The sequence below is a fragment of the Homo sapiens genome, chromosome 20 (genome assembly GCF_000001405.40).
Source record: "Homo sapiens chromosome 20, GRCh38.p14 Primary Assembly".
Taxonomy (NCBI): Eukaryota; Metazoa; Chordata; class Mammalia; order Primates; family Hominidae; genus Homo; species Homo sapiens.
Window position 1 is genome coordinate 24,136,059 of NC_000020.11, and position 16,147 is coordinate 24,152,205.

Below are 16,147 nucleotides of genomic sequence, written 5' to 3' on the forward strand. Positions count from 1 at the left end.
GAATTTAACAAGGCCCAGGGTAGATGAGGGAGCCGTGCTCAGAGCTGCGTCGGCCAGCCCTCCATGCTCAGCCACATCTCTTTCCTAAACTATGAAGGGGATGGTGGGACCTGCTCTGTGGACACTGAGGGACTCACAGGTAGTGTAGGTGATAGGCCCCCGCCGCGCAGGACCCACCCATGCTGGGCAGGCTTGCTTCTCATTTCCACATGCCAGGCCAAGCAGGAAAGGGTTACAGAGGAATGGACCCTCCTGGGTGTGGACGTCTCCTTCATAACCCCTGGAACTAGACAGAGAGGAACACCTGGGGGTTAAGGTGCAACGGGACCAGTGCTGCCCAGTCACCTGTGGAGACAGGCATTTCTTTTCTGATGCTGTTCATACACCAGCCACCAGACCCACGTAGCTGTTAAGCACTTGAAATGCAGTTAGTGGGACCGGCGCACTGATTTTAGTTTAATTTTAGTTAATTCACATTTAAATTTAAAAAGTTGAGTGTGGGTGGTGGCTACCATATTGAACAGTGAAGATCTAGCCCACAGGGTATAAATGACAGGTGCTCATTAGTGTCCAGTCTGACTCTTTCTGGGACATTGTCACTGTATCCTGGATTCCATTCCTGAAAGCCTGGCATCTGTAGGGTTCTGCAGATGTCAGCAGAGTTTATCAGGCCCAGCTGTTGACTCCTGGAGCAGGTGTGCTGACTAGTAAGTGAGATCATGTGCAGAGCTGCCATATGCCCTGTGCTGTGGGCAGACCTATGTGTCATCTTTACTTGTGTTCTGATCAAAGGAGGGAAGGTGTAAAAAAATTCATGGAAAGTGTAAAGTGTCAGGGAATATTAGTTACCATGATGAACAGTAATTATCAGAGTGACCTAATTTTGTACCTTCCCCTTTTTGTATCTTGTGTAATATTCACATGCCTGTGGTGGGGCCTGTCTCCAGTTTACAGAATTAAAAATGGGCTGGGAGGTGAGGTGTCTCCCCAGGAAACAAGGAAATAAGTGCAGGACTTAGAGGAGCTGAGCTGTCCCAACCCCCAGGGCCTCCACAGCTGCTTCATGCGGGGACATGGAGCCTGAAGTCTCCATTCTCGTCCCACTCTGTGCCTGTCCCAAAGCAGCACTTCTCCCTCAGACTTTTTCTTTTTGAAAATTATTTGAATAAATTTCTTCTTCTAATTCCCTAAGATCAAAAAAATTGTATCCTTTATAGATTTAAAAAAGCAGCAGTATGAAAATGAGCCCAGAGATCCTTACATTATAAATGCTTAGAGAAACTTTATGGTTATAAAAACAGTAATTAGGTAAGAGGCCCTAAGCATCTGATTCCTTAAAATGCTCTTTAAGGTGGAATGGATTTAGTTAGCATCTGGCACCTTGCTTCGTACTGGTATGAGTGCTTTCCATGTTAGTAAATTTCAGCATCAATTCGAAAGCTTGGCAGGCATGATCCTAATGCTGGTGAGAAGTCTGTTTCTCATGCTCATAGATCCCTCCTGGATTCCTCCTGGGTGCACACCAAGAAAAGGGAGCTGGAATGACCTGATACTGTGGATTACGTTTACATGAACATGGTGGCATTTTGGGTGGCTTTGATGGTACACCTACTAGAGGCATTATCTTTTTTTACCTGGTCTGGTGTGATATTGTCTGATTAAGGGATTCACTAGCAGGGCTGCAGGATTTCCTGCCCTCTGTGGATGCCAGCAGTGCACTATCCACTATCGTCATGGCCCCAGAGGGCTCCCACCCAAGTGATGCTTTACCATCCTCAGACTGGCAACGCTAAAAGATAAGTTGTGTTCATTTCACCGCTGTCCAGTTTGGCACCAGGCAGCAGTGGGGTTGCTTGCTGGGGCCACTCAACAGGACCTCACTGCAACGTCAGTGCCCCCCAATATGAAGTTGGGGCTTTTGCACCCCAGGTGGAATTTTCTTTTCCTTAGGTTTATATTCAGGAATGTCCTCAGAATTTGGCAGATGTCTATGAGGCCAATGGCAAACAGTGCTCAATGGCAAAGGGGTATTTCTATAGAAGAGTGGCCAATATTTGTACTTGGAAGGAGGGGCTGTGAGCCCGCGGGGATGGGGAAGATGGAAAGGGAGAAGAGAATACAGGATCCTCATTCCAACCCCAGTGGGTGCAGCCTGAGACAGCCTGCTCTTGGGCAGTGGTTCTCAAGGTGGAACCTGGAGGGTTTGTGACTTCATTCCGTAAGCTGCCGGGCCAAGAATGTGCATTTCTGTCATTTTCCCTGGCAGTGCTGAGGCTGCTGGTCCCTAGTGGTTTCCTTCAATGCTCTTTGGCAGCACACTTGCAGGTGGAGCCTGTGAAGGTTCCCATTTAACTGCTTGCAATGAACCTGCCAGTGCAGAAAGCAGAATGACAGAGTTCCAGTCCCCAAGTCCCAAAGGAGCTTCCAACTGCATCCCTGTAGTGACATTAACATCATTTTCCCCATCATTTACTTAGGAATGCCAGTCTCCTTTCCATCGTACAGGGAATCCAGCCCTTTAAATGCAACTACAGACCTGTTTCTCAAGTCCAACCCTGGCCTCTGTTTCAGCCTGGCCTGCGGCCTCATTCCAGGTTTCCATCCTCTCTCACAAGACTATTTGAGAGCCTCCAGCTTCACATTCTCAGCCACCCATTTCTCTCTCTCCTCCTGCCTACCTCACCATGAAGGCTTCTGAAATGCAGCTTTCCCCTGTCCAGCCTGTCCTTTGGTGGCTTTAAGATCTTTCATGGCTCTGTGTGTGCCCATCAGGGCTTTGGTTCTGGGCTTGAACGGCAAAAAACCCCTGCCCTGGGCACAGCCCTGCTTGTCCTCCTGGCCTGCCATTCACATGGTGTTCCTTTGCCTAGAGCCACTCCCGTTCCTCCCCCTAGAAAATGTGTCTTCACCCTGCAGGGCCTGACTCAGAGTTCATTTAAATGACACAGGAGGTACAGAAGGTGCGTCCACTGAGGGGACCCTGGGCACTGGCCATGCCTTCCTTTGCTGGGGCCAGGGTGGGGCTTCTCTGGTCTGACCTGCAGTAAGGGGCTCCAAGGGTTCTGTGCTGCTGGAACAGGGCATCCACATGGGGTAGACAGGATGGTGCTGAGCAGAATCCCAGGTCACAGAGGCCCCCAGTTCTGCTGAATGGCCCGGGAGGCTATGCTGGCTACTGCTGAGAAGAGGACTCTGCACCCAATGCTGCTCTCTGAAAGACCCAGGTCTGCTGGCCCCCATGTGATGTTACCATCTGGCTTCCAGGTCACTCCCTGGTTTGGACCTGGAGGTGGCCAATCCCAAAATGTTCTGGGAAGAAGCCTGGAGGCTGACTGGGCCCCAGTCCCCATGGTTTGTCCTTCTTCTCCCTCCCCCTCACCAAAGCCATGAACTTGAAGCCATGAACTTGAAGCCTGTGTCTCAGGTTGAATTCAAAGTCAAGTGGTTTATTTAGGAGGTGAGGGAATAGTCCCTGGAAGGAGGGCGTATTGATAAGCCAATTACCATGGTCACCTGGAGCTTAATCACTCGGGGATACCTAGGAAATGTATAGATTCTGCCGCGCCTGGGAAGTCTCTCGTCAGACAGTGTTATGGGTTAGTTGATGTCCAGACAAAAGACATGTCGACATTCTGGCCCCAGTACCTGTGGGTGTGACTTATTTGGAAACAGGGTCTTTGCAGATGCAATCAAGTTAGATGGCATCACCAGAGTAAGCCAAATCCAAGGACTGGTATCCTTATAGGAAGAGGAGACACAGAGACACAGAAGGTAGAAGGCCATGTATGGGGCCACAGTCTTGAGCTAGAAGAGGCAAGGAAGGAACTCCCAGAGGCTTTGGGGGAGCACAGCCCTGCCAACTCCTTGCTTGTGGACTTGCAGACTCTAGACTGAGAGAGGCAAGTTTCTGTTGTTTAAGCTGCTCATGAGTGGCACTCTGTTACAGAGGGCTGTGCGGGGTGGGCTGTCTATCCCCAGCTACCCCAGTCCTTGGTTGACTGCTGCTATTGAGAGGATGCTCATTTCTGGGCACCTTTAGGCTCAGGCCCAGGGCAGGGCCTCTGTGGTTCTAGAAGGAGCTTCCTAGCATAGAAATGCTTCCAGCTGTAGCTGTAAGTTGGCAGAGTACAGTGAAGGGTCTGGGAGACATGGGCAGGGCATGGATAGGAACTGCTGTCCCTTCTTGACCAGGCCCAAAGGATGTGGTCCTTGGGCCAAGCATTTGGGATAAGAGACAAAGTCTCAGGGAGCAAAGAAAGGAGGGGCTTGTGGGAATGGGAGTGGGTACAAATCAGTTACTACTTGAATATCTTCCCCTAAGAGACTTCCACCCCAATATCCTGTCCCCAAGTCCCCAAGAATTCAGTTGTCCTTGCCCTTTGCTCCTGAATCTCTCCCCAAATCCCAGTGCATGCCATTGCATTGCAGACATCTGTATACTTGATGCCTTCCCCTCTAGAACTGTCATGCAGGAGTGAACTGCACACCTCATCTTTGTGCTTCCACATACGTAGTGGTTGGTATCTATTTTATTGTTTTAATTTTAGGGCAAAAAACACCTAGTCGGCCTATGAAGTGCAGGGACCCATGGAGGGCCATGCAGTTGATCAGGCTCAAGGTGCCCTAGGGAGAGGGTGGTGGCCAGGGCTGTTCCCACAGAAAGAAGGGTGCTATGCCTGTACTTGGTGCTGCTGGTGTCCCAGGATGTGTGGCTGCCTGTTCCTCTTTCTTGTCCTGTCCTTCCTCAGTGAGGATGAGTAGCAGCTAACCCAGCCCCATGCAAGTAGCTCAAGGCCAGTTCTCCCTTGTTGCACTAAAGCAAGATTTTTCTCAGCCCCTCTGCTGGGCTCCCGGTAGGAGATGCCCCATCGACTCAGCCCACCTAGCCATGCCTAAAGGCAAGCCTCTGGTGTGGATCTCATGCTGCCACGACTGTGCGCTCAGCCTCTGACTGGTGGGAACATGTGAGTGAGCAAGTATGGGGTCTGGCCAGCCAGTCTGAGCACAGACACAGGAGCAGGCTCTGTGCAAAGCCCACACCAGACCAGGTGTGTCACCCCAAGGGGAACATGGTGGTGCCAAGTCAGGGGTGCCTGCGACCCCTAAGCCTCAGAGGGGGTATTACAGTGTGCTAATTAGCTATTTTAGTTCTGCTATCCACAGCCTGATGAACAGCAATGTGTTAGCAGCTCAGTCAGCCCCGTGGCCCACTCTGACCCACAGCTGTGGGACTGGCTGGGCCCCACTCCTGTTTCTGTTGTGTGGGGCAGCTACCCTCCACTGTGAGGGCAGGGGAACACAGTGCTACAGCCTTTCTGGATACCCGCCTTTGGTGGGTCCCGAGCTCTTGTCCCTCATCCAAGAAGAATGAAGTCATGCTGACAATTGAAAGGTGATGAGGACGGAGAGTTTTATTGAGCAACGAAACAGTTATCAGTAGAGAGGGAACAGGAAGGTGGTCTCTCACCCGAAGTCAGGTTGTCTTCCCCAGTGTGGCTGAGTCTGAGGTTTTTATAGGCACAGGATGGAGGAGCCATGGGCCAAATGATGTAGTATTGGGAAAGTCAACATTCAATTGGCTAAAAGCATTATTCAGAAAGAACCAATTGGGGAAGGGTAGGCAAACAGGAACAGAAGTTGTCACTCTGGGTCGTGGGTTTCATCCGGAACCAGCAGTCCAGGGTGTTTTGGCTCGAAGGTGAGGTTTCACCAGGGAACCACCCCTGTTTGCCTAGGCATTTGACTGCCTCCTGTCACTGTCAGCATTGGTGCCTGAAAAGGCCATCCTCCTGCAGATGGAGCCACCCTCCTGCCTGCATTGGAACCAATAAAGTTTCCACAAAGATTTAGTCTTGATTTTTATCTTTTTCTTTCCCATTCAAATCATGAAGTTCTCTCACACTTTTTAAGGTCACTTAGGTTCTAAGTCTTGAGATAAAATGTCTCTCCCTAAAGCATAAACCCCATCACCTCTCTTCTTCCTAACCCCAGAGAACAGCCTCATCAGTGATATCCCACTCTGCTCGGTTTCATAAGGAAGTATCCCTGGAATTCATCTGGGGGAGTTGTGTACATTCTAACCTTCCCTTCTATTTTTTTCCTATTTCATAATTACTACTTTTTAAATTTTATTAATTGTAAATTAACATTCATACAAGCAGGCATGCATCTAAAATCCACCAGCCTTCAATTGGAGAAGCAAGCAGCACACTGTAGTCACAAGGTCTTTGGTCTGGGGACTGACACCGAGTGGGAAAGCCTGTTCCCACCTCTGGCTGCCATGTGACCCCGAGCAAATCTCCCCCATTCCTCCCCAGGTTCTTTGCCTGTCAGGGGGTGGTGCACATCCCACTCACTTCATCCTGAAGATCAAATGAGAGGTCATATGTAGCAGGAATTTCAACTGTCTGGCATTTGGTGCTTCAATAAACATCACCTACAAGATTAGACATAGCCAGCATTATACATAAATTCACTCCACTCCACGTATTTGGGTAGGTGCTAGGAGACTGAAGGGGATGCAAACTCTTTCCTACATGAAGTCTGTAACCATCCAGAACATACTTAATTGAGTGAAGCAAGACCTTTTTCACATATTGTCACTGCTCTGCAATTTACTGCTATCCTAATAAAAGTTTATAAACTTTGCATGGCTAACAGAAAAATAGGAAGAGCCTTAGAGAAATCTTCCTTTGCAATAACTGCTCTGGCCCCTGGACATCAGCACAGCAGATGATGCTGAATGAGGTCGAATCGTTGGAACTGAGGGTCTTGACATCCAGCAGACTCAGGCCGTCATGGACTTCATTGCTCCTTTTTGCCACTAGCTCTGGGACCTCAAGCAAGTCACTTCATTTTTTTCCCCGCAGTTTTCACAGCTTTAAAATGGGATCAATACCAGTTCCTGCCTGACAAAGTAAAGTGGGAAGTTTAAAACAAACATCCTCTCACACCCTGGGTTTAAGTGTCAGGGCAATATACCCTAGGCTGTCCCAAGAGCACCTCACAAAACCTCCCTCCCATTTGCCTCCATCACCAGACTCTGAGCTCCCTCCCACCCCACCTGAGAACCATGAGGGCAGGGCCATGTGCTGGGGTGTGGCTCCCCACAGTGCCCTGGGCTGCCCTCCTCCCTGGCACTCCCCCACGGCAGACTTGTGCTGGGAGCTTCTCCTGCCAGCTTCACACATCTGCTGGCCCCAGCATTTCTCCTGCAAGCACATTCAGGTCTTTCCCAAGCAGGATTACTCTGGCAGCCTGTGAATGCACAACACCTGTTGTCTGAATTCTCCTGTCAATTGTGTTAATCCTGCTTTGCTTTGGGGATCCTGCAGGTAGATCTGGATCCGGATCTTGTCTGCTCAGCTTCTTCCTCACCAAGGCAGTGAAAGTGAAGCTGACCTTCTTGGGAAGTCTTTCTAGACTTGGCCAAGACAGAGCAGATTGTTGAAGATGGGAGCAGGTGGTGATGCAGAACGCACCAGACCCACAAGTGCCAGGGGCCAATCCTTACCTGGGCTTAATTCCAGGAGAGATGGCTTGTGGGCCAGAGGGACATGGTCTGGGATGGGCTTACTGGTCAGCCCAGAACAGGCCTCCTCAGAGAGTGTGCTCTGGACCAGCACTGCCCCCATGACAGCATCCTGACAGCTGCCCTCTCCTCTTCCCTAAGTCACAAACGTCAGGCAGCCCACCCTGAGATAAGAAGCCAGCCTTCTTAAAAAGGTGACTAGCCTTCTTCTACAGTTTTCTTCCAATAATGTTCAGAGAGCCATCAAGCCCTGCTGAACCCAGATTCCTGCCATGAAAAGCCTTCACTTTTGTCCCCACATATGACCTTCAAAGGACAGTTCGGTAGTTTTGCAAGTGAAGACTTAGCTTGGAGGGTGTTCAAGTAAGACTAAACATAAAATGGCAACAGCAATAGTAAGAGTGATAGTGGCCAGGACTGTTCTCCCGTGTGGGCCTCCTCTGAGCCTGGCACACATGCTAGTCCCTTTGAGTGCTCCCGCCCCTGAGGTCAGTCTTGTGCTCACTGCCTCCCCCTCATAGGACATCCCAGGACGCAGCGGGACAGAGCCAGGCTGTGAGTGCGGGCTGCTGTCCCAGGCAACCTCCTACCACACACACGTCTCAGGCCTTGAGGGCTAATGGCTCATGGGGGCACTCACCATGGAGGGGCTTGAGGGGGTCTGGCCTGTGTGCCAGGTGCAGTCTGTTCCTGCCCCACCTCCAACCCTCAGCCAGCAGTGTCCACAGGAAGCTGGAATGGACCGACCCCTCTCTGCTGACCACCCCCAACCCGCTGCATTTGCCTCTCTGTCTTTCTATCAGGGAGCCTCCTCTGCACATGTGCAAAGCACCTGGATTTTACATTCCAGGGACAACCTTCAACTGAGGATAAGCGGGAGTCCTTGGGTAAATCAACACAGCTTCCTCATCTCGTTGGGACGGTTTTGAGCTGCGTCTTATGTGGTTCCTCAGAGGTCGCAGCAGGGTTGGGCCTCATTGCCCACAGCAGTAACAGGTTCACCAACACAGCCTTCCCTTCTCACTCTCCCCACCCCTCACTCCCGGATTCCCCAACCGCCAACCCCCTCACCCTCACCACCGAGAAACTATCTGCTCATACATCCTGGTGTCTGCTTTTGGGTGAATTCAAATTAAGACATTTATCTACATAAAACATAATCTGGTTATGATATTAGAATTGTGTGTGACTACCCTATAGCTGACTTGCATTTAAATAGCCAATTGTCATAGGTCCTGATGTCTATAAAGACATTAAAAGTCCCTATTTCCATGGTCATCCATTACACATAGTATCATGGAGTAGAATGTTTCCTAGACATAATCTAGTTTAGTAACGTTTAATCTTGTTTGAGCCTCATATCCCTTTGGAAATTTAAGGAAAGCTACAGACCCACCCCTGGAAAACTGGTGATGCGTACAATATTGCCTACAATTTCTGGGTGTTTTTGGAACATTTAGATCCAAGCAGAGGTGTTCCTTTGCTTGACTCCCCTGACTCTAGTCCAATCGCTCAGTACACAGATGGGTAAACTGAGGCCTGGGTTGGAGAAGAGCCTGTCCACACCACTCAGTCAGTGAGCTGATGTGAAGTCTCTTGACTCCCAATCTAGCCATCCTTCCACCCCACACCATCCACATCACTACCTTTATTTCTGTCTGTTGGGTTCTTACAATACGGCAAGCCAGGTGCTGTAGGAGTCCCAGCTACTTGGGAGGCTGAGGTGGGAGGATCTCTTAAGCCCATGAGTTTAAGGCCAGCTTGGGCAATGTAGTAAGACTTCCCCCATCTCTAAAAATAAAAATGAAAACAACTAAGTACACAATCATAAGGCAGTTTCAGCATCATCAATACAAGTTTATTACACTTTATTGATCATGATGAATATAGGCAGATTCTCTGCCCAGCTTCCCTCTTCAGTGTGCACTTGCAGCTCCTGAGCAGTATTTCACACCTCAGCAATTATCTTATTATCATTACAGCCTCACATCCTTCCTGCCCCGATTAGTCCCACAGGCCTGTTCTTTACCTGCTCAATTATCCAGCTCTTAGCTCTGCTCAGACATATTTTCAGTGTCTTTTTATCTCCACCTTCCAGATTTTCTGCTCTTCTGGGGCCATCCTTTTTATTTTTTCTAAAAAAGTTAGTATCTGTTATTTATAACCCACCCTCCTGACAATTTCAGGATGTTTTTTCTTTGCAATGATGAAAGCTTAGATTAGGATTTTGAGGAGCATCATTTTTTACCCTTCTTAAAAACTATCTCTGGGAACATTTTTCTCTGAATGAGTTTGCTCTTCAAGCATCTAAGTCAGGCCTCAGTGTCCATTAACTTGTTTTCTACAAAGAAGATTGCCTTTTATAAATCACTAATTATATTACTTGTCATGTCATTGCTATTTATGTTTCTTGTTTTTGTTTTTGTTCTTGATTTTGGGCAGTCCTCTTCTGCTGAAGTGTATAAAGCATTATTTTACCTTGAGAGTCAGGTGCATGACAGGTGACAATTAGACATTCTTTATCCCCTACTGAGGCGGGTGAGGAGGGTCATCCCACTGCACTGACTCGCATTGAACTCATTTCCTTGGGAACTTCAGGGCAAGACTAGACAGTGTTTTCCAAAGGTGAGATGGGGAAAGCATGAGAGAAGGAGGTTAGGAATGGAAGTGGTATCTGTGTGGATGGGGACACTTGGCTGCCAGCAACTTGTATAACACAGGGTTATGGAATTCTGCCTCACCCAGTGATGCAGTGACTTTGTAATTTTGGCCCACAGAGCTTGATCATGGAGTCTTGGAGTTAGACAGGAAATTGGAACTCCTGCCAAGCCCTGGATTTTTGCAGCCTCTCTAGAACTATCTGCCAGGAGGCTGGCCAATCAGCTCTTGTTTGAGCCCTTTCAGGTGGCCTTGGACCTTTGATGTGTTGGAAACAGAGTGTGTCAGAACAGGCCAACAGCAAGGACATGGTATTGATTGATATTCAGAAAAGCAGGGAACCCCCATTGCCCAATACAAGGGAAAAGAGGTGAGGAGGGAAAGACTGGGGGTGAGGCTTCAGGTCGGGGGCTGGAGGTTGAAGAAGTTAATGCATGGGTGTCTTGACTCCATAGCGAATTCAGAGTCAGAGTTGACCACTAAGAATTAATTGAGCCTAGTTAGTAGGAGGCTAGAGGGATAAAAATAAATATTTAAAAATAAAAGAGAAATCTGCATAAGAAAAGACAGAAAAATTAACAGATAGCTTTAGAGACCCAGCTGAAGTTGGGGGTGATTTTGTGGCTCTAATTTGTACAGTTATGGGGTTTTCTCCAAAATTAGTGACCATAACCCAGGGTAGGAATTTTTTAGGGGCAGAAGGAAAATAGTACAAAGGGAATCAAAAGTGCTTATGATTTATTAATTTAAATGATTGACAATTCAGTATAGTCTAGGTAAGAAAAGAAGAAAAGTCCTGGAGCATTTGAAGATGGAAAACCCAAGATAGCAAGTAACCAGGTACCTCAACGAGATCACAAAAAAATTGTACAAGAATGTGAGAAAGAAAAAGCCAGGAAGATAGATGCTTCTTCAAAGGGCAGTACATTGGGTTTGTGATATCTTAAGTGGAGCCATGCTGAGTGAGAACACGTCATGTTTTTTATTTGTGCTATTCAGTGTAAATACATTTGGCCCCATTTTTTCAAAAGAATAACATTCCCAATTGTTTTTTAGTTTATTTATTTTGCCTTTTGAAAATTGTCTTTCCAACACTCTTTGATATCTATTTGGAAAAGTGCTACCCACCTAAGTGTTAGAAATCACATATATAGGAAATAGTAACAATAAAAACAATAATGACATCTGGGTGAAATGATTCCCTACCCTGAAAGGAATTTTGAAGTGGTTACTTCCTGCCGAAGAAGGGTAGGGGAGACATATACTGGAGCACATGCCACCTCACGCTTGGTACAGTAGGGACAACATGACAGCAGTTAAATGAAGACAAGCAAACTCTGGTCCCTATTCATCAAGATCAAAAACAAAAATGAAACCCTGGCACCCCAGCCCTCCACGCAGTGTCCCCTCCCATCTGTCCAAGTCAGACTAGGTGCTGACTAGAAGCCAGGACTGGCCATCTTCAAGCCCTTCCATTCTATGATCTGAAGCTTGGAGCTGGCTCCTGCATTTCACCAAAGGCTCTCTTGATCTGACCCCTCGGTCACCACGAGGACTGCAGCTGCTGGAAAGCATTGTTTCTTTGCTCATCCACCTCAGAGCAGATTCACCTGATGGGCTCAGCCTTTCCTATCTTTTGCGTTTGTTTCATTTCCTTTTCCTCCATAGTTCATGTTCCTTGAGAATTTACCAAACTTTCTAGAGCCTATTTCTGGACAATCTAAATTAATTTGCACCCAGCCCTGCACCCAAGAAAACCCCACCATTCTTGTCAAACTCCAGCCAGCCTCAAAAAGCAAGTCTAGACTGCTGGGTGTGATTCTTTTCTGCTGAGAGTAAATTCGTTCCCCACACAAGCACAGTTGCAGTCTGGCCAGAGTCTTTTTGCTGAAAACCTGATTCTGAATAGGCATTGGCTCTTAAGCCCAGCCATCAGTTTCACCGGATCCAGTCATCTTGATGTAAAGATCAATTTCAGAGCACACTTGTGAACCGTGCTGCTGTGAAGCTTCCTGAAAATGTACACACACCTCTTTTTAATTTGTTGGTGATGGCCTGGATAAAGACTAGAAGATAACTAGTATTTTCCCGAAGTTTTACCTGATCCAGGATTTTAAGAACAATTCCCAGATGTTCTAGAGCACTTGTCACAGCCCTGGAGCCACAGCCATGGTCCTTCACAGAGGAAACAAACACAGCTGCTCAGAGACTGTGGCTGGTTCCCCTGGTTTCAGTGGTCATGTTGCCTCAGACATTCTTCAATCTTCTCAGCATTACTTCTTGCCTCAGCTGCTCACGTGACCACAGTCTTCAACTGACGACACACGTGCACGCTTGAGCTGGGTCAAGTGCCTCTCACTTCCTCCCTCAGCCCCCAGGTTCTCTGACCCAGCTGCATGGAATGTACAGGATGTACAGGACGCCCACTAGACCCTCAGCACGTGCAATGCAGAAGTGCTGGGGTGTGTTCCAGTCACTACAGCTGCGTAACAATTATCTCAAAGCATAGTAGCTTAAAATAACCATGTTCATTATGTTTAAGAGCCTGAAGTCTAGCAGCTGATGCAGCAGTTGGCTGGGACCTCAGCTGGGGATGCCTCTCAGAACACCTGCACCTGAGCTCTACATGGTTGGGCTTCCTCACAGCATGGCAGCTGGGTTCCCAGGGTGGGGAGAGAAAGAGAGGAAGACATACACCTTTTATGAACTGGCCTCACAAGCCATGCAGCATCATTTCCACAGAATTCTATTGGTCAAAGCAGCCACAACGTCCCACCGAGTTTTGAGGGAGGGAACATAGGCCCCACATCTTGATGGGGAGTAGCAAGGTTTCGAAAGAGCGAGTGGACCCAGAAATTTTGCTGTGTCACTTTTAGAAAATAAAATCTACCACAGGTAGTTAACACATGATGAAGTAAACCTTGATCAATGGGGAGCAAAAGCAATGGAAAATCTTTTTCCTTGCCTTCTCCTGGAAGGCTGTCCTGAGAAAGAGATTTGGCAGCATCCACCCACAGTAGTAGTTACCCCCTGCATGATGAGTCATGGCCAATACTTCTGACACTCCATTCTAAGGTCATACTTCCAGATAAACTATTCACACATAAGGCTTTGTCCCAGACATTGCTTTTGGGGAATCATAAGCTCAGGCAGTTAGTACCGGGTGTGTCCCTGGTGAGCAGTCTTGGGATTAGTTTTTAAGGCTGGGTAAGTCACCACCCAGGCATCACTAAGGATCCTGCTCATAGTTATTGGCTGTGATAACATTGGCACAGGCAGCATCATTTAGTAAGGCTGTGGCTGATTGACATGAGGTACAGATTGAAGGTTCAGAGCAATGGGTTTGCTTGTTAGGAGGGTGGGTAAGCAGTGTGGGGTAGTGGTAAAGGTAAAATTTGGGTAGTCAGTTGGCTTTTTGAAACTGAATTAGGAGCCTTGGAAGAGGTAGGCTCAGATACCCCAACTGTCAACTCCAGGCATGTCTGAAGGACTGAAGGCTCATCCCCTGAAGCTGCAAGGTACACACCCCCATATTTTTCCTGGGTTAAAGGTCGGGACCCTCATAGAGATGAATAGGAACTGGAAACACAGAATAAAAACTTGATGTGAATGAGCCTGGAAATCTGACCTCTAGAGCTCCCTGAATCCTTCATGCTGGTAGATGAAGTCCACAGCTCTGACGGAAGGGAACAGCCTCTCCTTGTGTGGCAGTGGAGAGGGGAGGACTTGTCAATATGCAGTACTCATCCATGGACTGGAACTGAACTTCAGTCAGGGACGCTGGAGTTAGTCCTGGCCCTGTGTTGGGACAGCTCATTGAATCTCAGGCACCAGGACATGCATGGGTGAGGCGGAGGTGTTGAAACTGCGCTGGCATGGAAGCGAGGAAGGCTTTAGACTCCTAGGGAAGCCCAGAGAGCACTCCCTCCACTGAGCAGCAGGGGAGCCCGAGAGCAGACACTGGCGTGGCACTGGCTGTCCTCGGAAGCTGGGGTCAATGGAGAGAGACGCTGCTGAGGGCCAGTGGAAGGGTTTGTGTAGTAGCCAAGGCCAGAAGCGAGTAGGGAATGATTTATCATAATGGGCAGCGAAGCCAGAAAGACAACCAGGTATGCTGATCAGCAAAGATCTGTGGCGACAGCTCACAGGGGATAGAACGGAAATTAACTCACTGTTTCCTCACTGATCAGTTCACAGACCCAGAGTCCAGCATGGCCAAGGGAAGGACAGATCCCTTAAGGCAGGATCTGCAAAGCCTCCCCAGCGTAGGTGGTGGCTACCCCTGCAGTCCATCCGCACTGTGCCGTGGTGTTTTAAGGACTGTTGCCCATCAGACACCTGAGATGTCATCACGTCCCTCTGACTGGAGGGGAGGCTCACGGAGGTCAGGTGACAAGTGGATACCCGTCTGGAGCTCACCCCACACAGGGCCCGCTAGCTGCAGCCACTTCCCTGACCCCAGAATGAAGGATGATGTTGAGTATACTCAGCAGCTGACAGAACCTCATATCCATCCCCTGTCCTGTGAAGGAAGAATCATAATGAAATGGAAACCCCAAAACCACCGCCAGGCCCTCATTTGGCACCAAAGTGAATCAGAATTTAAATCATATTCTGGGGGGCGTAAAAAATGATGTGAGAGAAGCAGGAAGCAGGAGGAGGGAGACACTGGACTGTGATACTTTAGCACTGAGGCCTCAGCCAACACAGGGTCCTGTGTCTTCCATGGAGGCAAAGGGCCCCAGCCTCAAACTCTGCCTCCAGGAGGCAGGGCATGCAGGACTCCCACAGAGAGAGGCCTGGCCTTGAGCAAGGCAGCTCCGCTGGCCTGAAGGCAGTCCCAGAAGTCCTCAGCTATAAGCTGTGGGCAGCCACCTGTCCAGCTGCTGGGCCTGCGTCCGGAAGAAGGTCTGAGTGACATCCAGCATCCAGGATTCCTGAAAAATGCCCAGAATTCCCCAGGGAGATGGAAGCAGGTGGACATTGGCTCTAACCCTGGTTGTAGGGTCCATGGCAACTTGATCCTGTTGGGCTTCCAGAATGGACTAGAGCGTGATGTGCATTGAAACTGCGATCTGTTTTGGTGTTCATTAAATGGTAACTCTTCTTTACTAATGTTTTCACTATTATAACTCATATAGAAACCTCTAGTGGAGGGACAAGGAACCTGGAGCAGGCTCTCATCTTCTGCAGCAGCCAGGGCCAGGTAAAGCACCTGGGCTGCAGATGTGGCTGAGAAGTGGGCTCCCAGCTCCCTCCTGCTGGATCTTTCTGGAAACACAGAAACATGTTTCTCACACACACATTCTTCCTCTCTTTTTACTTTACTTTGATTCATTCTGTCAAAAACTGGCAAGAAAAAGGAACATGAAAACAGCTTGAGTTGTGTGATGTACCAGGGTGCCTGTTAAGAGCTGTTGGGGGTCTTTTCTTTCCCAATGCCTTTCCCAAATCTGAGAAGAGGGTCTGCAAACCGTGTCTGTGACTGGCTATACTGGAGGACTTGGGCTCTGACAGCTGCTGTGTGGGGTCTGCGGTCCTTTCTCAGAGCAGAACATCCTGACAAGGCTTGATGGGGTCCCCTGTCTAACACTTGCACCCGTTCTTCATCCTGCTCTCTCTTTGTCACTCCTTCCTTCCTTGAGTCTCACAGCAAATTGCATTGCACATGTATAGGGTATGTCCATGCAGCCCCCCTCACTCTCACCATTACACATCACAGTCTTTCTCCTGGGTGAGGTCCAGGGCAGCCCAGAAGTTTCAAAGGAGCTAACTCTGCTGACAGTCCTCAGGCAGTGACAGTGGGGAGAGGCGGGTCAACTCTGAGGCTGTTCCAGGCTGTTTCCCAGGAGCACAATGGGAATGAGGCTGGCTGCCACTGTGATAACCCTGTGAGCATGCTCTATTGCCCTCCTACCCTTCCCTGGCTCACCCAACCCCATGCCTGTGCTCCCTGGT

At 48.8% G+C, this 16,147-nt stretch overlaps 2 annotated features.

Moving 5' to 3' along the window:
• Positions 7,640–8,140: an enhancer, noted in NCBI's record as "H3K4me1 hESC enhancer chr20:24124334-24124834 (GRCh37/hg19 assembly coordinates)". NCBI's record gives its function as "activates a minimal SCP1, AML or CMV promoter by ChIP-STARR-seq in primed H9 embryonic stem cells {active_cell/tissue: H9 hESC(primed)}" and the evidence as "EXISTENCE:reporter gene assay evidence [ECO:0000049][PMID:30033119]".
• Positions 12,666–12,715: a silencer, noted in NCBI's record as "silent region_12736". NCBI's record gives its function as "represses an Ori minimal core promoter by ATAC-STARR-seq in GM12878 lymphoblastoid cells {active_cell/tissue: GM12878}" and the evidence as "EXISTENCE:reporter gene assay evidence [ECO:0000049][PMID:35858748]".